We start from the raw sequence: 24,581 nt of genomic DNA on the forward strand, positions 1-24,581 counted from the left end.
GGGTTGTGGCATTAGATTACAGCCTACTTGGTGTTTGCTGAGAGGCAAGTAGCTTCCCCTTAGTTTGCTTAGTTCATTCTCAAAAGTGAGTGGGGTCTTTAACAAATGTTAAGGATGAAAATAAACAAACTAGCTTGAGCAAAATGGTGAGACGTAGAATAGTGAAAAGGCAGCCGCTTTTGTTTGGGTGTGATTACTCCTCCTCTAATAAAAGACCCTCATATTGACCACCCTCCTCCTAAGCGCCCTTAGAACCTGGTTTGACCTCTGAAGAAGGGCCAGGATTGGCTTTCAGTTTCTTCCTACTCATTTAGGCTCATTCCTACTGTTACTTTTCTAGAAGCTTGACCTAGGGTGGACCACTTGTCAAGAAGACTTACATATCTGCAGGCAACATTTAACCACAGGTTGGACCTCCTCAGTGTCTTTCACTCAGACCAGTCAAGGGGCATCATAGCCCTGAATCAGTTTTCTTTCCCCTTTGTGGTATAAAATTTTATATTAAAGACAGGAGAGCATAATTAAGGGAGAACAGTTTTATTAGCATCACAGGGTCCATTTTTCCCTTTCCATCCAAGCATCCAGAGTCTGGTGTCCTTTAATCAGTTGGCAGGTTCAACCTGGAGGCCACTGGAGCTGCCGGCCCCCAAGTACATGAATGTGCAGATGATACACAGATTGTGCACCCAGCTTCCCATCGTTGATCACTGAAATTGAGCTTGGGGTTAGGGAGTCAGGATCATGGCAGAGGTCGAAGAATGAAGATCATATTGAGAAGTAGGAATGAGAATTCATAGGTGAGGGACCAAGGGCCAAAAGTCACTCACCAAGTCGGTATCCATCTCCCAGGCCCTCAGCCTTTGCTGTCTGCTTGGCCACAAGGAGTAGGTGTCCTAGAAGCTATAGAGAGAGCGGAGGGACATAGGTGGCTTCATTCATAGGGAGCAAGACCTCTAGCTGGGTCCAGGGGCTCCTCCCAGCCAAACCCTGGCCCTGTTCTTCCCACCTGCTGGTCTTCTTCTTCAGCCTGGCTAATCCGAGGAATGGGCTTCTTAGGAATGACCAGGAAGTGCACAGGAGCCTGAGGGGCCACATCACGGAACACAAGACACTGGGGGAAGTGACAGGCCAGAGGCCACGTTACTTCAACAGGTTGGATGGTATCTACAACATTCCTAAGGGGATAGGTCCTAAGAGCACCCCACCTGCTGGTCCTCATAGAGAATGTCAGCTGGGAGGCTCTTGTCCAGGATCCGGGAGAAGATGGTTGGGGCTGCTCCCCCAGGAGTTGCCTGCTGGGCCTTGGCCACTTCATTCCCATCAGTCACACCTGCAGCTCCTCGGACCTGAAGGTGGATCGACCATATTCAAAGGAGGGAGCTGGCAGAAGCTGGGCTCTGATAGTTGTTAATTTCGTCCTTCTAATAACCTATTCATCGTTCCCACCCAGGAGGAAAGTTCCTGAATTTCAGAGCACCAGCAGCAAAGGGTAGGGCCAGAAGGTGCTGGACCTGGTTAGATAACAGGCGGTATTATTATCAGGATTCAGCAGTGCAATTGATTCCTGCTCATGTGTCCACGAAATATAGCACTGTTTAGGGAAAGGATCTAGAATGAGAGACTGGGGATTTTGGTCTCAGTTCCTACCTTACCATACCACTGAATTACCTCAGATAAATTCCTTCTCTCAGCTTCTAATATAAAATAAAGGGATGGTTTCCATAATCTCTTGCGATGGCTTGAATCTCTTTCCACTCTCACCTTGTTAGTACATTTCCACTTATTTCCGTTACTTGTTTTCTGATCTTTAAGCCTTGTCGCCTGTTTTATTTAAGTTTTAATGCAATCGCCCTGTTTGACACTAGTTGACCCCTCATCTGGGTGTCACATGTGACTCTGTGAATTTTAACTCTTGTCCCTTGAATGAGTGGAGGTAAGAGTTCAGCTAAGTGACCTCTGCTCCCCTAGCCCCAGGGAACTTCGGGTAAGGGATTCAGAGAAGGCTGATGTCATTGCATCACGTTGGGGGAGAACGGGACGGAATGAATTCTCTGACCTCCGAGCCGCTTCTGGCAAGTGCAGAAGAGAGGTTAACACTAGTGCTCATTAGGAGGCCAGAAGCCTGAGGAGGGCAGAGCACTGGCTCCAAGAAGAGAAAGCTCATTTCCTGCAGGGGGCATCGGGCCAGCTGGGCTGCAGGCAGTGGAAAGAAGGCGGCAGCCGCTGCACTGACCCTGTCCCGACCTCGGCGCCCCGGCCTGCGCAGGGCGGGAATCAGCACCAGCTCGTTCTCCGGAGCCACCAGTTCGACCTCACCACACAGCCCCGGAGCTTGTGCCTCGGAGGGGCAGAGGCCACAGGCAGGAGCTCTGCGCGGCTCTGCGCGCCTTCGGGACCCCCTGGCCCCGGATGGCTTCGGAGCCCGCAGGACCCCCTACTCGCTCCCGCGCCACTTCTCACCTGCCCCCCGCGCACCCCCGTGGCCGCCACGGCTCTGCGCGCCGCGCGCAACCCAGCAGCCAGCACCACGGCTGCCGCCATCTTCCCTGAGCCGCGGGAACCTCTCACCCGGGTCAGCACTCGGCTCCGCGGCCGGCCGTGGGTGGGGACTCCGGGCGCGGGGAAGCGGGGTAGTGGCGGCCGGGCGAGCCCTGCTACCCCATTGGAGCGCGCCTCTGAGCACGATTCACCCCATTGCCTCTGCAGCCACTTTGGAGGCGGGCTCTTTTCATCTCATTGGCTGCTTCTACCAACGCGAGGACAATTTTCCATTCCATTGGTTTCGTCTTCTAGTCCGTGTGAACGTTCTTTTCCCATTGGATCCCCTTACTAGTTTCTCTGTGAGAGAAACTTCCACTCCATTGGAAGGATTAATGGAGCCTGGAGGTGGGATTTTCTCCTAGTTGAATCTGATACACAACTCTGGCTTCTAGGTTGCGGCTCCCGAGTGGGTGGTTCTTTTCGTTCTTGGTTCGTCCTCTTCAGGTCTGGTTCCTATTGGTGCGCGGGGAGAAGGGGGCGGGGCTCCGCCACCTGCTGCAGAAAGGGCTGTTTTAGACCCTCTCACCGCTTTGGCCAGGAGGAGGGCGGGGCTCTGAGGGCATCCGGCGCTTATTGGCTCCAAGAACCACCCGGGGTGGGGCTAAAGGTGAACGGGGATGAGGTGTGTTTTTTTGTGTTTGTTTGTTTGTTTTAACTGGCGGGGCTGATGCGCAGCATTTTCTCCACAAGGGCAGTTTCAGTCCCTTGAGCATTTTGGAGATTTTAATGTACTTATCTAAGGGAAATTCTTCCTTAATTCTATGTTCTTGTTAACGCATTCACTCCATAGATTAAAAAGTCTGTGGTTTTTGCATTTTTTTTTTTTGAGCAGGAGGAGATAAGAGTGTCCTATATTTGCCGCACAAGAATTATAATAAGCAAAGGAGTATGTATTCATTGTTCTTTTCTAATCGGAAAAGGTGTGTGATACAGTTAGCTCGGTGCCTGGTGTTTTCTTTTTTTTTCTTTTTTTCTTTTTTCTTTTTTTTTTTTTTTGAGACGGAGTCTCGCTCTGTCGCCCAGGCTGGAGTGCAGTGGCGCGATCTCGGCTCACTGCAAGCTCCGCCTCCCGAGTTCACGCCATTCTCCTGCCTCAGCCTCCCGAGTAGCTGGGACTACAGGCACCCGCCACCACGCCCGGCTAATTTTTTGTATTTTTATTAGAGACGGGGTTTCACCGTGTTAGCCAGGATGGTCTCGATCTCCTGACCTCGTGATCCTCCTGCCTCGGCCTCCCAAGGTGCTGGGATTACAGGTATGAGGCACCAATAAGTCAGGTTTGCACTGCTGGAATATATATTTTTGACATAAGAAACGTGGGGTCACAAAATACTAATATTCTCAGACGCTAGGTAAGTTTTAGTCTGATATCACATAGGACAAGTTACCACTGTTTCTTTGGTTTTTCTTTTTTTCTTTTTTTTTTTTTTAAACACATGACCTGATACATATAGGTGGTCAGTAATTGTTGAATGAATAACATTTGGTGTTTCCTGTCTTTTTTTCATAATATGTAATATGTATTGCATATGATACTAACCCATGTGTAATCAATTTTTCATATTTTTACAGTCTACGTAAATATAGTTTGTATTGGCTGCTTATTATTTCCTTCAATGAGTTTATCATAGTAATCCTAACTCTATTGTTGACTATTAGTTGAATTAGTTTTAGGTGAATGGTTATCATGGGGCATATAACCACTGTTGGGGAACTTTGCTTCTAGAGATATAACAATCTCTTTTGTATAGCTATATTATTGTTAGAAAATCCTTTCTCCTCTAAAGGGCAGACATTTGATTCTGTGATTTTCCCCAGGGATCCTAGCAGTCCAGATTGCATTCCTTCCCTTGGAGGAACAGATGGCCCCCCTAATTGTGAGGAAATGTAGAATGGCCTCTTCTCTGGGCCCCAGAGGCTGCAGTTCTCTGTGGTGCCTCTGGGACACTGGGAGACCCTAGAGTTGCCCTGGAGAAGGGCGAGAGATAAGTGGATCTGGGATCTAGGAAGAGGAAGGAAGCCAGTCTGGAGGATAGGTGGATACAAAGCACTTTGAAATTAGTTATTTCTTTGGTTCTCATAGAAAGTAGGCAACACAGAGGTTATTCCTGTTTTACAGGTCCAGAAACTCAGCCTAAAGAGGGACAGTGACTTGCCTGGGTTCACAGAGCCCATTAGTGCTGGAATCTCCTACTCCCATAAGAACCTATGGACTCCCTTGTGACTTCCCACATTCACTGATTTTGATCCTTGGCCCACAGTTTTCTCTACTTCAAGCACTTATCACCTTCACTTGCCCTCATCTGAAAGATGTTATGCTCTGCAGCCTCTGAACACTGTCTCTTGTACTCCAACCCCTGCCCCTACGTCTGCTACTGTACCTCATTAGAGACTTCTCTTCCTTTGACTGCTCCCTTTTTCAATCTGTCATTTGCCTCCTGGCATCACTTTCTTTCCCTATTGGTGCTGTATGCTCCCTTCACATCCTCATGCCTTCTTTTGCTTAGTTTTCCTGATCTTCCTCCCTGACACCCTCACATCATCAACCCATTAAATATTTGGATTCTCTGCTTCTCTAACTAGGTTCTCACTTCCAACTGTGCCCGAATCCTGAACTACCCACTGATGAGGTTTTTCTCCAGTTCCCTACATTAGCCTTCCCAAACCTTCCCCTTTCTCTTCTTGTCTCCTGCTCCCTACTCTTATCCCTCTTCCCCTGGACCCCAGCCATTGGCCTTATCTCCTACTTCACAGGGCATATAGAAGCCATCAGAGGGGAACTTCCACAGGTTCTTGTTCCCTGAAACTCTAGGAAGGCTCCATCCTCTTCCTTCGTCTTGGTCATAGGAAGTGGTGTTTCTCCTGTCCAGAGAAAATCCCTTCACCTCTGCTTTGACCTCATCCCTTTCCTCCATCTCTGGGATCTTGTCTCACCAGGCATCTCTTCTCTCTCTTCTGGGTCCTTCAAGGTCCTTTAGTCTACTGGCCTCTTCCCCTTTTCCTTCCTACAAAAGTACTTCCTTGACTCCACAACTCCCTCTGGATATTGTCTGACTTTACTTTTGTACTTTTCATCCAAGCTTCTTTAAGAGACTCCTTGAAACTCACTGCTGTTTGACTCCTGCCTCCACTGCACCAGTGTGAAACTGCACTCTCCGATGTTCCCAAAGATCTTCTAATTGCAAAACCCAATGGACACTTTTCAGTCTTTATCTTATTGGTGCCCCAACTGCATCTAACATCACTTCCCACTCTATCCTTCTTGAAACTTCCTCCCTTCTTGACTTCCTTGAAGCCACTTTCCTTCAACAGGCAGCTTGAATGTGAGTGTGATGGAGGCAGATGGCCAGATCCAGGCTTTCTCCTGTGTCTAATAGGTGTCAACTCTAAGTTATTAGGCAGTCTCTCCCTGGGCTGGGATCTACCTGCCCCATATAGAGCCAAGTCAGGTTCCAATGACTCCTCTTTTATTGCTGATCTGGGCCAGACTCACAAAGGCCTGTGCCAGTTGCTGACAGTGTCTGTCCCTGGAGGAAGAAAGAGCAGAGGTGAAAGGGTCAGGTATGGGGGTCAGAAGGGAGGCCAGGCTGGAGACCGTGTGAACCAGGGAGCCCCGGGGGACTAGGGTGGGAGCTGGGAAGGCCAGAGGGCCCCTGTATCTGCAGGGCCTAGAAGTCAGAGTTGCTGAGGATGGCTTCTCGGAGCACAGCCATCTCTGCAAAAGGTACATAGTCTGCTCCTGGGGGTGAAAACCAGTGCAGATGTGGGATGCAGGTAGGTGGGTGGTGGGGAGGTGGGCTGAGGGAGCGCGCTAGTCCTGGAAGGGATGGTTGAGGATGGGAGTGCCTTCCTGCCTGGCCTTCTGACTACAGACCCTGGAATGGCCCCCTGTCCCAGGTTTCTGCCTCACCGCGAGGCCTTCCTCCTCGTTGCCGGGTCTTCTGGGTGTCAAAGAAAGTCTCGTGTTCCTCCCAGCGCCGGTCACAGGCCGCACAGAGGAAATTAGACTCAAAACAGCCGCAGCAACAGCCTGGGGCAAAAGTGCAGCCAAGAAGAGTTTAGGAAATGGTGGTATCCCCAGGAGCTGACCACATTCTCATCTCTTCCTCAGTGACCGCATGCCCAAGGCTCTCATACCTGCTCTCCATCATTATCCCCAGATTGCATCCTATCCCCACCTACCCTGCTCCCAATACACCTCTTGCCCTAGAAGTTACCATGATGCCTGCAGGGATGGGGCCCAGTGGCTGCATGTTCTTCGTGGCTGTGTTTGCAGCGACATTGGGCCCTCCAGGCCTTGGGGTCAAAGGTGGCCCGTCTCTTGAGCCAGAACTCACCCACCTCCTCTGGGCGTGATGGGATAAAGCAGAACATGAAGCAGCGGCACTGGCTTACCTTGCAGGGCACCGATATGTCTGTGGGATTGGGGATGGATGGTAGGGTTAATCTGATAGGACCTTGCCTTCTCATGCCAACCCCATCCTCCATCCCCACCACCCCCTATGCACGCAGACATGCTTTTTTTTTTTTTGAGATGGAGTTTTGCTCTGTCGCCCAGGCTGGAGTGCAGTGGCATGATCTCAGTTCACTGCAACTTCCGCCTCCTGGCTTCAAGTGACTCTCCTGCCTCAGCCTCCTGAGTAGCTGGGACTACAGGTGCGTGCCACCATGCCTGGCTAAATTTTTTGTATTTATTTATTTATTTTTTAGTAGAGACGGTGTTTCACTGTGTTAGCCAGGATGGTCTCGATCTCCTGACCTTTGATCCACCCGCCTCCGCCTCCCAAAGTGCTGGGATTACAGGGGTGAGCCACCGTGCCCAGCCACATGCTCTCTCTCATACTTCCCAAGACATGACAGAGTACAGTTATTCCTCCACACTCGAGAGGGGCTGGTCAGTTCTCCCCTACCTGAGATGATCCGGTGCTCTCTCAACAAGTGTCCACAAAAGCATCTGGACTCATCCCCAATCCGGAAACAGTCCCATAGGTAATGGGGGCAGCGCCAGCCAATGTAGAGACCTAGGTATGCAGGATTAAAAGTGAGAAGTAAAAAAATTCTAAGCTCCCCCGAAGTGTTCTTACCTATCCCTTGATGGAGGTGAGGGGGTGGGGGGAACTTACCTCTCCCCACCCCCAGGTATCTTTATCTCCACCTGGAAGTCCTCACCTCTACCCCTTAGATTTTCTTTTTCCTCAGGGTTTTCTCATTACCCCAGAAGTGTCTTCAGTTCTCTTCCTACCCAGGATCTACTCCATCTTTGTCAGCCTGCCAGAGATGACTCAAGAGAGTGGTTTCTGAGCAGGAAGATTATAGATGAAATTTTGTTTGAGGATGAACATGAATCTCACTGAGTTCTCTGTGACCACAGGGATTCTCATCTCCTCTCCTCATCCCACTAAAGCCCAACTTTGCTTTGTTTTCTTGAAGTGTCTAAGGTGAGGGAAAGGGAAGATGATTGGCCAGATGTACAGACAATGGGATTGGCTCCTAAGGAGCATATTTATTGAAGGTCCTGAAGAGGAGAAGGAGGTTGGATAGCTCTGGTGCTGGAAGGTAGGAGGAGGGCTTCCTCTCACGTCTCCACGTTGGTACCTTAATACCTCCCTCTGTGTTCCTGGTGCTATTGTACCAATGCTCTCTGTGTACCTAAGAAGGGCTGCCAAAGGTTCTTCAAGGGTCAGGAGAAAGGGGTAGGTAGCAGTCATGAGTGGTGAAGACCAAAAATTATATATTTTGAGGCTAAGCAAGGAGGCGTGGAAAGGAAAGTGAGGCTAAGAAGTGTCCCTGAGAGTAGGCACCAGCAAGAGGTCACAACCCTCGAGAGCTGGTGTTCAGCAGTGAGGTCTGAATCCCTGGCTTCGTGACTAGTCTTGAGGTGAGGGTGGTGCTGTGCAACTGAGGGAGGATAACCAGATGGCACCTCCAATTCAGATTTTCTCATTCTCCATGAGAACTGAGAGTACCCCAACTTCTAGCCAAGAATCCTGTATGAGGCCCCATGCAGTGGGACTGCCAGGTGTAGGATTCTTAGTCCCAATTAAAGGCTCAACTGAAATGTCACCTCCACCAAAAAGGTGTCCCTGACTTCCCCTGTCTGTCTGGGCCCCTCCTATTGCCATCCATAGCTCCTTGTGCTACTCCTGTTGCAGTACACTGCATTATAATAGATCATTCCCTTGTATTCCTATTAGTCCATGAGTTCTTCAAGGGAGCTGTCTTTTCACCCGTATCTCTCATCCTAGCACAAGGCCTGGCACAAAATGGTTGCTGAGAGAACGTAGATTGCCTGATTAAACAATTGAGCTCATTCCTTCAAGAGGAAGAGAGAGCCAGTATTCAGGCATAACCCTGAGGTTCCATAACATGAATAAGGAGAGTGGCATCATCTGGTCTTTGACTGTGGTCAGGGCCACAATTCACAATTCCGTGCCTCAGATTAAGTTTTCTTGTCTTACCCATAGTCTGTCAGGATCTAAAGCCTGTCTAGATGTGGCTTTTGGCTTTGCTTCTTCTGTCTTGATGCTGATTGCCTGTAGTGCCAGTGCCCCCTTACACCAGGGAGGCTTTGTTGAGAGAGCAAGGTATAGGCAGTCACAATGCAGGTGGGCGGGAGCCAGGATTCCACTAGAGGAGTTCCGAATTCTGTCTGGAGTAGCAGGATACATTAAAAAAGCAGGAGGTGAGGCCCAAAGATCAAGGCCTGCTCGGAGGGCCGGGGGGCAGTCAAGTCCAAGCACTAGTGTAGGAATCAGTGCCCAGCATTCAGATGAAGAAGACTGGAGTTTGAACAGGGAGACTGGCAACTATACTTCAGATTCTGTTACAAGTGTTAGTGCTCTTAAAGTGGGACAATTGGAAGGTGGCTGTGGATTCCAGTGGGACCCTCTACTCTCTGTCCTGATTCCAAACTCCCTTCCTGTTGTGGGTGGACAAGGCCTGGCGGGGGAGGAGACATTATTTGGGATGCCATTTTGATTCTGTCTAACACAGTCCAGTTCCACAATCACATAATCACATTTGCATGATGACATCTCTTTATGCATAGTATGTCTCCATAAAACACATGGCTGTCTTTACAGGAACAATGTCTCCAGCCTAGCCCTCTCTCCTGAGCTTCAGACCCATATAGCCAGCTGTCTACTAGACTCTTGGGCCAGCATGTTTCATAAGCACTTCAAATGTCTTATGCCCAATTATTCCCTCCAAACCTGGCTCTCATCCTTTGTCCTCTGTTCATCCAACACATGCCTACCAAGCATCTACCCTTTTCTAGGCATTCAGTTAATGGCACCATTATCCTACCACTTACTTATGCCAAAAACTGGTGGCACTCCAGGCATTTCCCTCTCTCTTATCCTATACATCCACTGTTCCAATGGTCAGTTTCACTTTGTTAGCTTTTCTTTTCTTTTCCCTACTTTTCTTGTTTCTTTTCTTTCTTTTTTGACAGAGTCTCGCTCTGTTGCCTAGGCTGGAGTGCAGTGGTGCAACCTCGGCTCACTGCAACCTCCACCTCCTGGGTTCAAGCAATTCTCCTGCCTCAGCCTCCCAAGTAGCTGGGATTACAGGTGTCCGCCACCACACCCGGCTAATTTTTTGTATTTTTAATAGAGACGGGGTTTCACCATGTTGTCCAGGCTGGTCTCGAGCTCCTAGCCTCAGGTGATCCACCCCTTGGCCTCCCAAAGTGCTGGGATTACAGGTGGTAGCCGCTGCGCTCGGCCTGTTAGCATTTCTTGAACCTGTCCACTTCTCTCCACCTAAGCCCATCTACTTCTTTCCTGGTTATGACCAGTGCCTCACAATGTATTCACTTGCCTTTCCATACCTCCTCTCTTAGCCTCACAACTCCAGTCTTGTCTTTCTCCAGTCTACCCTATTGCCAGAGTGATCTTGCAGAAACAGAAATTCGTTCATGTTATTGTCCTACTTAAAACCTTCTAGTGACTCTCAGTTGCCCTCAGGATATAATTCTAGCTTTTAACTTGGCACAGAAATTCCTGCACAATTCTGCCCTTCTAGAGCAGAGTGGGCTCTTCTCCCCACCACTCTATGCATCAGGCATAGTGCATTGCTATAGATTCCTGCTGTGCCTTGCCCTGTCATGTCTCATCTTACAGCACTCTTTACTTGGCCACCTCTTCTTACTCATCTTACAGATATCAGCTGAGAAGTCATTCCTTCCAAGGCTTACTATTCCTCAAGCACTCCAGATAAGATGCCCCTTTTTTTTCTGCTCATGCAGCAGTCTAGGATAACCTTGATTATAGCAATTATTAGAGTGAATTATAATTGTCCTTGTACTTATTGGTATCTCTCATTAGAGTGCCAAGTATTTTGTCTTTGAACCCCCATCAGCATTACCACTTCCATAGCTAGCTCAATGCCTGGCACATAGTTGGTGCTCAATAAATGTTTGTCGAATGAATAAAAACAAAGGTTACACTTGATATTTCTGTACACATCACATATACTGTTATGGACTACCCAGGACTCAACATCCCCACTATTAGGAGGGGACCTCAAATATAATTGTTCGGGGTTGAATGACATGAATTTCTTTATAAAACTTCCTGTTTAAACAGGAAGATGAAGAAGTTCAATTTGAAGAAGAAAAAGAAATACAGTGGGCTTGAGGAGTAGGGAGTAGACAGGAGGTTCTGAGTAGGGGAATAAGAGGACTGAACACATCCTGCATTTTTTTTTTTGAGACATTCTGTCACCCAGGCTGGAATACACTGGCACAATCACGGCTCACTGCAGCCTTGACCTCCTGGGCTCAAGTAATCTGCCCACCTCAGCCTACTAAGTAGCTGGGGCCACAGGTGTGCACCACTATGTCTGGATTATTTTATTTTATTTTTGTAGAGATAGGGTCTCACTGTCTTGTCCTCACTGTCTAACTCCTGGGCAATTAAGTGATCCTCCTGCCTCAGCCTCCCAAAGTTTTGGGATTACAGATGTGAGCCACCTTGCCAGCCAGAATTTGCAAGAAAATAAGAGTAACCGAATATGTTAACATAAGCAAACAAAGTTGGTGGTGGGGCGGGAGGGCAAGGGTGGGGAGGTGGAGGGTCCCTGCATGGGAAAGGGGAAAGTAAATTTCATGGAGGAGGGATAAGCATTTAGAATTACCTGCTTGTCTTTATGTTTTAGGCCTGTCATCGTAGCTCTATTCCCATCATAAAGGGAAAGGAAGTATGAAGGACCAAAATAAATGTCATAACATCTATTGAATTCAGTCTAGAAAGACCAGAATCCTTATAGCAGGTCAGGGTGGCCCTCTTACTGAAGGTAATCCCTATAGACATGAATTTCCATAACACAGGTAGGCATGCTCATGCATAGGATGGCATGTTTTTGCAAGTTCATCTGTACGCAGCATGCCACTAACAGGACTGTCAAGAGTACTAATCACAGGCTGAGGCTTGGAAACAGCAGGGCCAGAGGACACAGGTCTCCCCTTTGGTAACAGAACTCAAAGCTTTTGGGTACCCAGCATGGGCCTGGCATGCAGGGGTGACAGCCTTTTAATGGAGTTCCACCAAAGGGACTAAGGTCTTTGTCATGTCAGAACAGCAAGTCTCCTGGGGACTGTCCAGGGTCCTGGGCCATCTCTGCTTTAGGGTCTGTAGGCTCTCTGGGCCCTATATCTGGGGTGGGCCATGACCCTTCTGTTTTTTTTTGTTTTTTGTTTTTTGGTTTTTTTTTTTTTTTGAGACGGAGTCTCGCTCTGTTGCCCAGGCTGGAGTGCAGTGGCGCAATCTCGGCTCACTGCAAGCTCCACCTCCCGGGTTCACGCCATTCTCCTGCCTCAGCCTCCCGAGTAGCTGGGACTACAGGCACCTGCCACCACGCCCGGCTAATTTTTTGTATTTTCAGTAGAGACGGGGTTTCATCGTGTTACCCAGGACAGTCTCGATCTCCTGACCTCGTGATCCGCCCATCTCGGCCTCCCAAAGTGCTGGGATTACAGGCGTGAGCCACCGCGCCCAGCCGACCCTTCTGTGTTTAATAATTTTAGTTCAGCTACCTGTCTCTACCTGGGCTTTATATGAATCTCCCCACTTTTTGTCTGCATCCACCCTTGTATTCCTTGGCCCACTTGCCTGCTCCTTTTCCAGGCAGGTGGTATAGCCATTTCCAAAAGGGGAAGCTATCTGCTGAATGTTCAGGTTCCCAGATCTTTTGGATTAGAGGATGCCCATGGGCCTGTCACAGGCCTCTGAAAGGCCACATGGGCTCACCTGTCTGGATGGCATTCAGGGCTGCATCCTTCTCCCACTGGAAAAGATTGTTCACTTGAGCACCAAACTCCTCTCTATGCATTGCCTTAGCCACTTCCACCAGCTCTGTCTGCCTAGCAGGGAACACTGGGCGGGCTGTGTTACCTAGGATGGGAGAGGATGAGTAACCAGGGGGAAGTGAGAAGGCCCTAAAACTAAGAGAAGGGGCCATGTCCAAGAGTAACCCAGTCTCCTCCTCCTGGGGCAAGTCAAGGACAGTGAATAGTAGTGAGAACAGGACAGGGGAGAGGACAGGTACAATTACAGCTAACTCCTTTCTTCTTCTTCTTCTTGCCTAGTTGGTGTCCAGGTTGGGCTGTGTGAGCAGTGCTGTCACTGGCATCTACTCCCTTTTCAACCTCTCCTGCTTCTTCCTCCTGCTTTTCGGTTGTGTCCACTTGGACCTGGGATGAAGGGCCTGAAAGACAGTGTTCTGGAAGGCTCTCAGATTCAGAGAGATGGGTAGACCTCCTTGTCCATGGGACCTCATTGGAAGAAGACTCAGAGGAGAGGTCTTCCTTCAGAGTATCAGAAGAAGACAGACAGACATAGTCTCGTGATTGGGGAGGAAGAGTAAGGTGTTTCTCTGGCACCACTGAGATGGGACTATCCAATGAAGCCTCATAGGTAGGGGTCTCTGAAGGAGTCTCAGAGATGGAAGGCTCCTGATGGGTTTCAGGGGAATGGGCCTCTAAGGGGATCTGGGAAGGGGATGGCACCAAAGGGGATTCAGAGGTATGGGGCTCTAACGGGGTCTCAGAGGTGGAAGGCTTCAAGAAGCTTTCAGAGATATGGTTCTCCTGTAAGTCCTCAGCAGAGGGGTCCTTTGAAGGGGGGTGCTTCTCTGCATCCATGGTGATATGAGGCTCTTCTATGATCTCATGTGCTTCCATCTAGTGGTAGAACAGGGTACAGGCTTCATTAGGTTGGAAATAGAGGGCCGGCAAGTCAGGGCAGAGCCCAGGGTTCGCAGTGCATTATGGAATTTGGATAAGGATATCAGTGCAGCTGAGATATAAGAGGGAAACAACATGAACTCTGGGTCCTAGAGTGTGATGCCAAAAGGTTCACCCATGTGTCCAGACCTCATATGGCATGCTGCTGTGGCTTGTTAGGGAGCTGGAACTTAAAGATTGAAAGACTGAAGTAGTTCGAATCCCATCAGTAGATGGTAGCAGAGAACCATGTCCCAGGAGGGAGTCTGAACAACACCACTTGGGCAGTCCAAGAGCAGGGTCCTTGGCATATCTTAAAACCCTGGAGGTCAGACCATGGAGTTCTAGAGACTGGCAATACCAAGCCAAAGTTGGGGTTGGCTCCTGAGAGTGCAGGGGAATGCTGTCACATAAGGCAAGACACTGCACGCAGCCTGGTTTTGTCTAGGCACCACACACATCCTCCTCCCTTAATGATGTCATTCATGTTCAAAGCTTTAACTACTTCCAGTTGTGTACCAATGACTCCTAAATTCACATTTCTAGCTCAGACCTTTTTCAACCTCTGTACTTCACACTCATACCCACCTGCCTGCTGGCCTTCTCTTCTCTTCTCTTTTTGTGATGGAGTCTCGCTCTGTTGCCCAGACTGGAGTGCAGTGGCGCAATCTCGGTTCACTGCAACCTCCGCCTCCCGGGTTCAAGTGATTCTCCTGCCTCAGCCTCCCAAGTAGCTGGAATTACAGGCGTGTGCCACCATGCCCGGCTAAGTTTTATATTTTTAGTAGAGACGGGGTTTCACCATGTTGGTCAGGCTGGTCTTGAACTCCTGACCTCAGGTGATCTGCCCTGCTTGGCCTCCCAAAGTGCTGAGATTACAGGAGTGAGCCACCGTGCTTGGCCCCTGCTGGTCATTTCTAACTGAGTGTTTCCACAGACAGCAAAACTGAACTTTGGGAATTATCCTAGTCTTTTCCTTTTCCCTTAGACTCCATCTTCAAATAGGCACCAATAACTCTATTTCCTATCTTCTAAATATTCCCCAAATGCATTCTCTCCTCTCCCTTCCAATTTTATTCAAGTTCTCATCATCTTCAGCCTTTGTGTAATAACTTTGCCCCTCTACTTCCATCCACAGCATTTTAATCCATTCACCCATTCTTTCATGGATTTATGTAACTTATACTTTTACAATGAGCCTAATCTGATGCTTTTACTGACCCGCTGTGCTAAGCTCTAGATTGAGTTGAGTCTAGGAGAGAGACCGATTAACCAACAATGGCAATACAAATAAATTGATGTTGTTCTGGGGTGAGTCTAGGATACGGTGGGGAGGGGGATATACCTAATTTATCCTGCAAGGATGTAGTCCTCCTTCCTGACCCAATCAGGATCTTTCTAAAGTGCAAGCCCAACAACTGGCACTTTGTGGCTTAAAAACATTCCATGACTCAGTCTAAAGGATTAAGTCCAAATTTCTTGGCCCTGGCATTCAAGGCCTGTCATCATTTTCAACACAGCCTGAGGATTCCTGCCTTAACTTTCCGTGCTCCCTACTTTACCCCCATGTTCCAGAGACGCTAGATATATCACTCCTTAAATGCATCAGAGCCTTTTTGAAGGGGATGTTTGGGAAGGGAATTAGGGGCAGAGGTAGGATTACAGGGAGGAAGATGACCAGAGTCAGCTAGAGAGAAAAGGGGCCTAAGAGTGGAGAACCAGAAGATGGGAGGTGAGGAAGGGGAAAGAGAAGGGGAGGAGGAAATTGGGTGGAGGAGGAGAGTAAGGATGAAAAGTACAGAATGTGGGCCAGGCATGGTGGCTCATGCCAGTAATCCCAGAATTTGGGAGGCCAAGGCGGGTGGATCACTTGAGGTCAGGAGTTCGAGACCAGCCTGGCCAACATGGTGAAACCCAGTCTCTACTAAAAATACAAAAATTAGCTGGGCATGGTGGCAGGCGCCTGTAGTCCCAGCTACTGGGGAGGCTGAAGCAAGCAAATCACTTGAACCTGGGAGGCGGAGGTTGCAGTGAGCCCAGATCGCACCACTGCACTCCAGCCTGGGGGACAGAGCGAGACTCTGTCTCAAACAACAACAACAACAACAACAACAACAACAACAACAACAACTACTACTACTACTACTACTACTACTACTACTACTACTACTACTACAACAATGTGAAGGGACTGAGGGGTGGGAGAAAGACAGATGTCTTTGAGGGAAGAGGGCAAGGGCCGTTGGAGAAACCACCTACCCTCTGGGCTTTGGCTTGGTTGTTACAAGTCCTTAGGTCAAGACCTTGACTTAGGATGGCAGGGGGAGGTGTTGATCCTCAGGGAGGAAAGGCTCTTGGTTGTGGATGTGCCTCAGCTGCAGGTGCTGAGTGTTGAAATGCCTTGCCTGAAAGTCTGCTATCTGGGAAGGGGACTTGGATATCTGCAGAACTTCGCAAAGGAGCTCTGGCATGACCTGGGGAAGTGGGTAGGGACAAGGGGTCTAGGGCCAATGAGGGAGGGTCTTGACTGAAGCCTCCGGAACCCGGGCCAGGAGAGTAGGCGCCGGTCACCAGGGCAACCGGAACGCCTAGTAGTCTCCGTGGCAACGGCGGTCTGGTCACCTCCCCGGTGGGTAAGGTCTCCTGAGGGGCTTGCATTGGGCCTCGAGGGGGCGAGCCCAGAGGGTTTACTTCTGAAAAGTGGGGTGTGTGTTGCGGGATCTCTGTGAGCGAGTGTTTGGGTAGGATCTGCGGAGATCTGTGCGTACGTCCGGGGGAGTCTGGGATTGTGAGGATAGGGTTCCTTTGAGACATCTGTGGGGCGGTCGTTGGGGGCTGTGAGGATCTGAGGGGACCTCGGGCTCTGTGCTTGGGGTGAGAAAGGCAGGGTCTCGGGTAGCTGAGGCGGGGGCGGAGTCTGTGTGTCCTCGAAGCCCAGCAGGACTAAGTTGGGGACCAATAGAGTAGGGCGGGGGCGGGCTTTACTGACAGGGACCAATCGAGCCGGCCGGGGGGCGGGGCGTCACGCCGACGTCAAGTCGAGGCCGCCGCCGCGGGGCCTGGTTATCGCCGGTTCAGCGCAGCCCGGAGTCGCCCAGGCCTGAACTCCTACCCAGGTCCCCGGCCCCCGCCCCGGGCCCGCGAGGACACCGGAGGCCACCCCCCGGGGGTGGGGAGCGGAGCCGCGGGCCAGCTCTGCGAGCGCCCCGCGCTGGCCTGTCCGGCCCCGCCCCCGCCCCGGGCCATGGCCCAGCCCTTGTCCCGGCCCCTCGTCCTATCCCAATCCCCGCCTTGGCCCCCAGCCCCGCCCTCGCCCCGCTTCCCACATCGGCCCCAGCCCCTGCCTGGGTCCCCATCCAGGACCCCCTTCCAGTCTCTGCCCCTGGCCTGGCCCCCATCCCGGCCTCGGCCCTCGTTCCACCCCCTGTCACAAATCCCAGCCCAGGCCCTGTCCCAGCCCCATTCCCAGTGTTTGCTTAAGGCCCTGGCTCAACCCCGTCCCTTGCTGCAGTCCCCATCACAGCCCTTCCTTCCATCCCACTCCCTGCCCTTGTTCAAGCCCCAGTGTCCAGCCCAGCCCAACCCATTATCTCAGCCTTTGCCCTCATCTCTGTGTTTACCCAAGTCTCTCCCTCTAGTCCCCCCTATCTCTCATACTCTGCCCCTCTCCCAGCCTAGACTCAAGTCTGGGTTTCAGCTGCCGCCAGCCCTATTGCTGCTGTTGCTGTTCTCTGTCCTTGGCCCAGGGGCTGGTGAGTGCAGAAGCAGGGAAGATTGAGGCAGGAATGGGGTTCCGGCAGGGAGGGGTGGGCTGGAGAGATTCAGGAGAGGTGGGACCTGGGGAACTAGATCATTGGGGAGCAAGTGGGAGAAATAGAGAGTAGAGAGGTCTTACACAACAGGGATTGGCAGGGTCAAAAGAGTGGTAATTAATTGGGTTTGAGGCTCAGCAGGTGGCTTACAGTTTCTAGCACAGAGACTCCAAGATTTTTTCTGGTGTCTGTCCTGACCCCACTTTGACTCTTGCTTTTCCAGGGAAATGTTGTGGGCTTTGCTCCTGCTCACAAAGTTTGATGGGGGAGAGACAGTCCCACACCAGAAGCCCCTAGTGTAGTGTGGGAATATATAGCCCAAACCTTTGAGATATTGGGCATGCATTCAAACGGCATGAAGAAGAGTTTTAAAGATAATATGTAGCAAATAGATGAATATGGATTAGTTGCCATTATAATGAGTTTTCTTCTTGTAATGATTCTTGTTCCAAAGAAGATTGATTTGCCTAGGAATAATTCCTGATACTTTTAGAGCAGGGCTGAAACTCGGAGGCTATTTTACAGATGGGGAAACTGAGGCTCAGGGAGGGAGCAATTTGTCCAAAGTCAGAGAGCTTGTGAATGGCAGTGTGCTGGGGCTAGAAAAAAGGTTTCCTAATTCCTATTTCATACTAGTGTGTTTTTTTTTATCCACTGCAATGTATACTTAATAGAAAAATAGACCCAAGTGGGGAAAGGCTCAAAGCATAACCTCCCTTCTCCCCGGTCTGCCCACAAGGGTGCTTTATCCACAAACTGTTCCTTATTTGCCAGGCGTCAGCCAAGGGCCACCCTCCGGTGGGGAAGTGACTTGGACAGAAGAGAGAGAGGTCCAATTTTTTAATGGTTGGAATGTGGGAGGAGGAGGGGGTGTCCTGGTCTAGGGGATGTGCCATGAAGATGGCTCCATCATGGAGTGACTGTAGTCTTCATGGCCCAAGTCTGTAGCCACCTCTGGTGGGTGTCACTCTAGATAGGATGGAGATGTGCCTGATGGAGTCTTTGGAAATAACAGCCAACAGAACAGCTGGGGGGTGGAGAATGGGTATCAGTGAGCTCTGGGGGCCTGGTTCAGTGTACAAACTTAAGGAGACGAATGCACGTGAAAGGTCACAACCCCTGCAGAGATGTCTGGTCACTTATGTGTATGTGTGTAACTGAGGGATTGTGGGGAGGCTGGCAGCATGTGTACATGCTTGTGTGTTGTTAAGTGTAGACACGTGCATGTGTGTGGGGTGCATGTGAGCCAGTGTATCTTCTGAGCGCCTGTGTTATGGTATGAAGGGGAGGGGACATGTTGTGGCCCATGTACATTCCTCTTCAGCTCTGCCTCCTCCTCATATGGACAGATCACTGAAGCTGTGAATGGGGCTGGAGACCCTTTCTCAGCAGTTCCAAGGGTGAGGGCAGTGTTGCATGCCTCCCATAACGAATATAAGTTATCCATCCATCCCCAGCCAGTGCCTTTGAAGGAAGGAGCTGTGGAGGCACTCTGTGTTGATTACTGCTGCTGGCAAATTGGACACTGGGCAGAGGCAGTAGCCAGTCAGGTTTTCAGTTTTGGTAAGGGGAAGTTTATGCTGTTGGGCCAAGTTCCTAGCTTCCATCCTCTGCCATCATGGCTTCTTCATGTGCCCATTGAGCAAGCATTGGGCTGGTGAGGGGAGCAGGGTGACCGACAGCCACAGAGCATATACAGCTGAAAGTTGTGGATAAAAACACTGTTGCCCAGAAGCAGGTTCAGGTGCTTTGGGGAGAATTGTAATGAAGTTGGAAAAGAGTACCAATACACCCAAATGGAGGCAGGGCTGCCTTTAGTGCTGTTAATAATGAATGCCTTGGCAATTTTGGACCAAAGTACAGGGTGCTCTGTGACCTAATGGTGGTGATGGGTTTTGTCTGAGGAGAGGCTGGCAGTGTCATAGGACCATCATGGCACAGGGCTGCACAGTGCTTATTGGTTGCTTCGGTTTCATTTCAGGAATGGAAGTTATCTCTTGGGTCTAGTGGTCCCACTCCTGATCCTTGGATCTTTTCCTTGGGCTTAGTTGAGGACTCACACGTGCCTTGCTATTCAAAAAAAAATGGGCTTTTATTCTACCTAGTGCTATTACTAGCAGGGCCAGCCTCAGCCTATGTGTGTAGGTGTAGGGGTGTGTGTGTGTGTGTGTGTGTGTGTGTGTGTATGTGTATGTGTGTATGGGGTGGGTGATGGTCGGAATTACCCTAGCTTCATCATAGAAATATTGGGGAACCTGGAATAAGTTCATCTGAACTCGGTAAGGGCCTTACTCATGCTTCTTCTGGACACAGCTCTGGTAGGCCCTGTTCAAACCGCAAACCAAAGTTTGGAGTGAATGGGGCTGTGGACCCTTTCTCAAGCATCTGCCCTCAGAACTTCTTCCAAGTTCCTCCTAGCATTCCCAGCTGCTGCTCACTCCTTTATCTCACTGGCCTATTCTGTGACCTCTGTAGCCCCTGGCCACTGTGGGGATGGCTTAGCTAGTTCCCCAGTTCCCCAGGCCATACTGTGATCCTTTGAATTACAAGGATCTTTGTGCTTGTCTGTCCATGTTTCCCAAAGGTCATTAAACTGCTTTTCACCACTAGCCCTCATCTGAGGGTCTGCACCGAGGGACTGACCAACATTTCTCCTAACGGTAGCAATGGTTGATCAGATGACCCATCCCTGGTACCAGCTTTGAGGAGGATCAGCCCTTCCCTAACCCCAGCAGAAGGTGCGCTAGAGTTCTGATTTCTTCTAACAATAGTATCCAGGCTGTTCACCTCTTAGCCTTCTGCCTCCTACTTAGCACAGCTAGGGTTCCTAGGAAACCCGTCTCTTCCATCAGTCGGTCCCATTTCCCTTTATCCCTCTCGGCTGCATCTCTATCACTCTCTGAATGCTGCACTGGTAGCCTCTCTGGGTTCCTAGGCAGTGCTCAGCTTGCAAGGTGACAGGTTTTCCTTCCTGACAGTTGAGACTGATCATGTGGTCTGAACTGGACAGACTAGTCCTTGAGTGTAACCGTGGCCTCCAATGGCCCCCACCTATGTAGGGCAGCTCTCTGGGGTGACTCCTGGGGTTGCTCTGGTTCAGTGTTCGTCCTTCAGCAGCCTCCCCTTCCCTTTCTTTGTTATTTCAAAAACACCTCATTTTTGGAGTTAATCTCTCCCATCTCCAGAGAGGGAGATGATTGGACTAGGTTAGCCCTGAGGGTATTTCCTGCTTGGCTGAAAATGCCCCTCCAGAGTAGTCCTTATTCCAGCCCCGGGTCTGTCCTGAAGCTGCTGAGTTCCCCACCTTCTCACCTGTCCTGGAGGTGTCATCTTGGGCTTCTTTTCTGGCTGGTCCGAAGTCTCCAGAGCAGTCAGATTCCCTAGAGGTTTACTTTGAGAGACCTTGCCTGCCATTTGGGACCCTCTTCCCCTGTCTGCTACTGGTTGCCTCCACTGTGACAGCTATTCTAGTCCCTTGCCTGGCTAGCTGCTGACACAACTTCTGCTCACCTTGGCTCTGCTCCTGACAATCATGATCAGGTATCTTGGCATTTTAATGAGGGATGACCACTTCCTCCCCACCTCCCAACTCGGCCTGCTCTGAATATTCCCAAGGGGCTTGAAATCCACTGGGTCACTAACTCACTGCCTCACTGGGCTTCCCTTTGGGGGAACATTCCCCCGGCCCCCACCTACTAGCTGTGCATTCTGACCTGGGAGGCCTGATGACTCTCCTTTCCTGGGGACTCTCATGGTGGCCTGCCAGCTCCTGTCCTTGCTTTTGCCACCCAAGCAGGCCCCTGGCAGCCGTACCACACTTTCCCCTCCCCTCTCCTGCCCTGAGCCAGTATACAGGCAGCGCTTGTGAGGCTGCTGAGGGTTTTTACTGCTCCTAACCACAGGGGAACAGAAAGGGGAAGAAAATCAACAAGGAAGTTACACAGTTCCATGCTGACTCCCAAGCCCCACAGGTGGAGTTTCAGCCTGCTCAGTGGCTTAAGACGCCATGCCAAAATACACACACACACACACACACACACACACACACACACACACCTTCCACACATCTGTTTTTTTTAGGTTTGGTAAGTGGAGAAAATGGCTCCTAAGTGAGGAGGCAGCTGTGAAGTCAAAGGGTCTTAGTTTTGGATTTAGAGAGAGCTAGGTTTGCATCCTCAGTTTGGTCTAGGTTTGAGCCTCAGTTTCCTTATCTGTAAAAGGAGGGTTTTTTTGTTTTTGTTTTTGTTTTTTTTTAAATAAGATTAACGTAAGGATTAAACCAGATGATGGCTAGGTTTCAGATCTGCAGCCTGAAACCCAGTTCCTGGCTCAGAGGAGAGCATTTGTGGAGTTGATGCTATTGGTGAGGAAGACTGGCATGCCTGTTGCTTAATGGAAATGCCCTCTGTCCTGCCCTGCTCCTTTCTCTCTCTCCTGCTTCCCAGGAGGCCTTTTCCTGACTGATTACTCCACCTGCTCACCCCGCAAGCTGAGTCCTTTCCGCTCCTTTGCCAGCACCGAGCTCTTCCACTTCCATGTTCCTGAGGACACATTCCTGGCTGTTTGGAACCTCATCATCTTCAAGGAGCAAGGGGGAACTTTTGGGGACCACTGCCCAGACCAAAGTGTGACTGTGTGAGTGTCTGAGTTAATTTCCCAACCCCACTTCCAATCCCTGACCACTTTCCAGACTAAAGTGTGACTTTAACTGACCTCCCGACCCTGACCCCAACCCGCGTCCAGATTGAAGTGTGACTGAGTGAGGGCCATGACCTCTGTCACATGACCACTTCCGGACTACTGTATGACTGTGCAAGTGCTTGAGCTGATCTCTCACCTGTGGCCCCTGACCTGGAACCACTTTGTTGAATGTGTCAGTATAGGGAATCTATTTGTTTTATCGGTGAAGAGTGACAGTTCTTTTCTTTCTTTCTTTCATTTCCTGCCTCCCACCCCATTGTCTGCTTTCCTCCTCTCCTAATTCTGGTCCCCCAGGTATTTCCGGTCCGGGGCACCCCCTGTCATCAATCCCCTGCATACACACTTCCCAGGGGACACAGCTGTGCCTGGGGTTTTCTCACTGACCCTCAGCTGGACACTGCCCAACCGCACCTCAGGCATCTTTAACGTCAGCAGCCCCTTACCTGGGGACTGGTTCTTGGCTGCCCACCTTCCCCAGGCCCACGGCCACATCTCTGTCAAGGTGGGTTGATGTTGCCCAGGCTCGGGGGTCCAGAACTGCCCTTCCATCTCTGCTGAATTCCCCCCACAGGCTCTCTGGCACACCAGCCTTGTGTCAGGGTGGGCAGCAGCACAAGGGTGGCTGGGGCGGGGCATGGCTAAAGGCCAGCAGGTCACCCAGTGGGTCAGAGGCCATGATCTGGAGGAGGCAACTTGGCAGCCCCAGGAGGACATGCTGGGTCCAGGTAAGCTGAAGGGAAAGTTGAGAATCTGGAGTCAGAGGCTCTGGCACAGGGGAGTAGTGCCGCCTCCTAGTGGAAGGCACAAATGTTAATCAAGGTGAACAGAAGCCAGCTATGGGCTGGTCCAATCTGCTGCACACACCCAGGACTGGTTTTATTTTACATCTTGATTGACAATAGCCCTGAAGACTCTCTTAGGCCACGGCCCAGTATTTAGTCCATCTGGGAGAATGTATTCCTCTTGCATCATAATTTCAGACAGCTTCCTACACCTTTCAGAAGACCACAAGAGAAGCTCTTTCCTGCTAAAAGGAGGCTTTGGGCAGCTAGTGTCCATCCTGGCCTTTGCCTCACTTTTCTCCAAATATCAGCCACCCCAAGCACTTATTTCACAGAGGTTGTTAAAGACTGAAGGGCAGGTTCAAAGGTCAGATGTCTCTCTGGTTTGGAGTGGAAGGAAATGCTGCAATGTTTTCCTGCCACTCTCATGGATTAGGCCAGACAGGTCTCCTATTCCTGTTCACTGGAGGAGAAGCAGGGGGTGTGCTGAGCTGGCTGTTGTCAGAGTGGGATGGCCACGTGCATGGGGCCTGTGGTGAGGGTGAAGAAACGAGCAAGAACAGAGTGAGGATTTAAAGAAGAGGACTCTTAGCACTCAGAAATGGGGTGAATAGTGCCTTTGAATGAGCTGAGACTCACATAAGGACAAGGGTGCTGGCACTGCTATTGTCAGAGATGGGAAGTAGGGCTGAGGTAGTGTCTCTAGGCCTCAGTGACAGGGCCGTTTTTCCTGAGAGTGATGTGGATGTGCAAGAGAACTCCCTATCAAGGCCTGTGAGCCTGCTGAAGGACAGCATGTTGGGAGCTAGCTTGGAAAGGGCCCTAGGTTCTAGGTAGGCCTTGACTCTCATCAGAACTGAGGGTTCTTCTGTTAGAAGGAATGCCTTCGTAGGTCTTTGGCAAAATCCCAACAGGGATGTTCTTTATCCCAACTCTGATCCTTGACCCACTTTGTAAGAACTGACAGGGAAAATCCTCCTGAAGCCTGGCTCTAGTTATCCAAAAACCTTTCTAGGTGAGCAGGAACCTAGGGCCTAGGCCTGGGCTGGGATTGTGGGAGCTGAGGCCCAGTTAGAAGTGGTCAGGATTGCTTATGGCTACCAGATTGGGACAATGGGGAATAGAGATAGTAGTGCAGAGAAAAGCTGCTCAGACCCTAAAGGGTGATTCAAGTGCCCAGACCAAGGGGGAGCTGGGCAGTGAGGAAATAACTAGGTCTGACATGTGCATTTGCATCTAGACATGGGAAGCGGGGCCTGGGGAACTTGGTACCAAACTGGAACCCTGGTCAGAGCTTCCCCAGGTGTGTGGTGAGGCTAGACAGAAGAGGACCATCCCACCGTGCCCACGAGTGGCAGTGGGTCTGGACGCCGTGAGAGATGTAGTGCTTCCATCAGCCCTGTTTGAGAGGTTGATGGGGCAAGGATCTTGGGTCTGGTCCTTCTAAGAATTAGATTAACTTCTGTAGTCTTATATGGTCCTCAAAGGGTTCTTCAGCTCTCCAGATCCTGGTTAATTTCC

The 24,581-nt window shown here is 50.4% G+C and overlaps 3 protein-coding genes across 36 annotated transcripts in view, besides 7 other annotated features; 1 reads left to right on the forward strand and 2 right to left on the reverse strand.

The window, feature by feature from the left end:
• Positions 522-3,041, reverse strand: HINT2 (histidine triad nucleotide binding protein 2). Of its 4 annotated transcripts, none has more exons than XM_024447702.2 (5): positions 2,691-3,041; positions 1,206-1,346; positions 1,007-1,111; positions 828-900; positions 522-707 (listed from the first exon to the last, which is right to left on the reverse strand). In XM_024447702.2, the coding sequence occupies exons 1-5, from the start codon at positions 2,775-2,777 to the stop codon at positions 616-618; spliced, it is 498 nt and encodes a 165-aa protein (XP_024303470.1). In that variant the 5' UTR covers positions 2,778-3,041; the 3' UTR covers positions 522-615. The 4 variants fall into 4 exon arrangements, with proteins under 4 accessions (XP_024303470.1, XP_024303471.1, NP_115982.1 ...); XM_024447703.1 differs by having other exon boundaries at positions 522-718; NM_032593.3 differs by lacking the exon at positions 2,691-3,041 and adding an exon at positions 2,461-2,604.
• Positions 2,417-2,736: a silencer, noted in NCBI's record as "silent region_19881". NCBI's record gives its function as "represses an Ori minimal core promoter by ATAC-STARR-seq in GM12878 lymphoblastoid cells {active_cell/tissue: GM12878}" and the evidence as "EXISTENCE:reporter gene assay evidence [ECO:0000049][PMID:35858748]".
• Positions 2,797-2,976: an enhancer, noted in NCBI's record as "active region_28338". NCBI's record gives its function as "activates an Ori minimal core promoter by ATAC-STARR-seq in GM12878 lymphoblastoid cells {active_cell/tissue: GM12878}" and the evidence as "EXISTENCE:reporter gene assay evidence [ECO:0000049][PMID:35858748]".
• Positions 3,067-3,246: a silencer, noted in NCBI's record as "silent region_19882". NCBI's record gives its function as "represses an Ori minimal core promoter by ATAC-STARR-seq in GM12878 lymphoblastoid cells {active_cell/tissue: GM12878}" and the evidence as "EXISTENCE:reporter gene assay evidence [ECO:0000049][PMID:35858748]".
• FAM221B (family with sequence similarity 221 member B) lies at positions 3,953-16,294 on the reverse strand. Of its 7 annotated transcripts, NR_052026.2 has the most exons (8): positions 16,025-16,294; positions 13,126-13,723; positions 12,792-12,935; positions 9,000-9,190; positions 7,452-7,562; positions 6,759-6,956; positions 6,452-6,571; positions 3,953-6,068 (listed from the first exon to the last, which is right to left on the reverse strand). NR_052026.2 is itself a non-coding variant. In NM_001012446.4 (7 exons), exons 2-7 carry the CDS (start codon positions 13,721-13,723, stop codon positions 6,031-6,033), a joined length of 1,209 nt encoding a protein of 402 aa, NP_001012448.2. In that variant the 5' UTR covers positions 16,025-16,294; the 3' UTR covers positions 3,953-6,030. The 7 variants fall into 7 exon arrangements, 6 of the variants coding, with proteins under 6 accessions (NP_001012448.2, XP_024303310.1, XP_024303309.1 ...); NM_001012446.4 differs by lacking the exon at positions 9,000-9,190; XM_006716768.4 differs by lacking the exon at positions 9,000-9,190 and adding an exon at positions 14,354-14,499 and having other exon boundaries at positions 5,992-6,571.
• Positions 13,659-14,018: an enhancer, noted in NCBI's record as "active region_28339". NCBI's record gives its function as "activates an Ori minimal core promoter by ATAC-STARR-seq in GM12878 lymphoblastoid cells {active_cell/tissue: GM12878}" and the evidence as "EXISTENCE:reporter gene assay evidence [ECO:0000049][PMID:35858748]".
• Positions 16,647-17,096: a silencer, noted in NCBI's record as "silent region_19883". NCBI's record gives its function as "represses an Ori minimal core promoter by ATAC-STARR-seq in GM12878 lymphoblastoid cells {active_cell/tissue: GM12878}" and the evidence as "EXISTENCE:reporter gene assay evidence [ECO:0000049][PMID:35858748]".
• TMEM8B (transmembrane protein 8B) overlaps positions 16,790-24,581 on the forward strand; it is a 36,288-nt gene continuing 28,496 nt past the window's right edge. For 13 of the 25 annotated variants that reach the window (XM_011517902.3, NM_001042590.4, XM_011517901.3 and 10 more), the window contains exons 1-3: positions 16,790-17,517; positions 22,023-22,212; positions 22,573-22,780. In XM_011517902.3, the coding sequence (XP_011516204.2) occupies positions 17,010-17,517; positions 22,023-22,212; positions 22,573-22,780 (906 nt within the window). In that variant the 5' untranslated portion in view covers positions 16,790-17,009. Of the gene's footprint in view, positions 17,518-21,438; positions 21,941-22,022; positions 22,213-22,572; positions 23,004-24,581 lie in introns of those variants that run through there. The other 12 variants (NM_001042589.3, NM_001363621.1, XM_047423472.1 and 9 more) reach the window with 10 other exon arrangements.
• Positions 17,382-17,882: an enhancer, noted in NCBI's record as "H3K4me1 hESC enhancer chr9:35829817-35830317 (GRCh37/hg19 assembly coordinates)". NCBI's record gives its function as "activates a minimal SCP1, AML or CMV promoter by ChIP-STARR-seq in primed H9 embryonic stem cells {active_cell/tissue: H9 hESC(primed)}" and the evidence as "EXISTENCE:reporter gene assay evidence [ECO:0000049][PMID:30033119]".
• Positions 23,240-24,153: an enhancer, noted in NCBI's record as "H3K27ac-H3K4me1 hESC enhancer chr9:35835675-35836588 (GRCh37/hg19 assembly coordinates)". NCBI's record gives its function as "activates a minimal SCP1, AML or CMV promoter by ChIP-STARR-seq in naive H9 embryonic stem cells {active_cell/tissue: H9 hESC(naive)}" and the evidence as "EXISTENCE:reporter gene assay evidence [ECO:0000049][PMID:30033119]".

Source organism: Homo sapiens, chromosome 9 (assembly GCF_000001405.40).
Source record: "Homo sapiens chromosome 9, GRCh38.p14 Primary Assembly".
Lineage (NCBI taxonomy): Eukaryota > Metazoa > Chordata > Mammalia > Primates > Hominidae > Homo > Homo sapiens.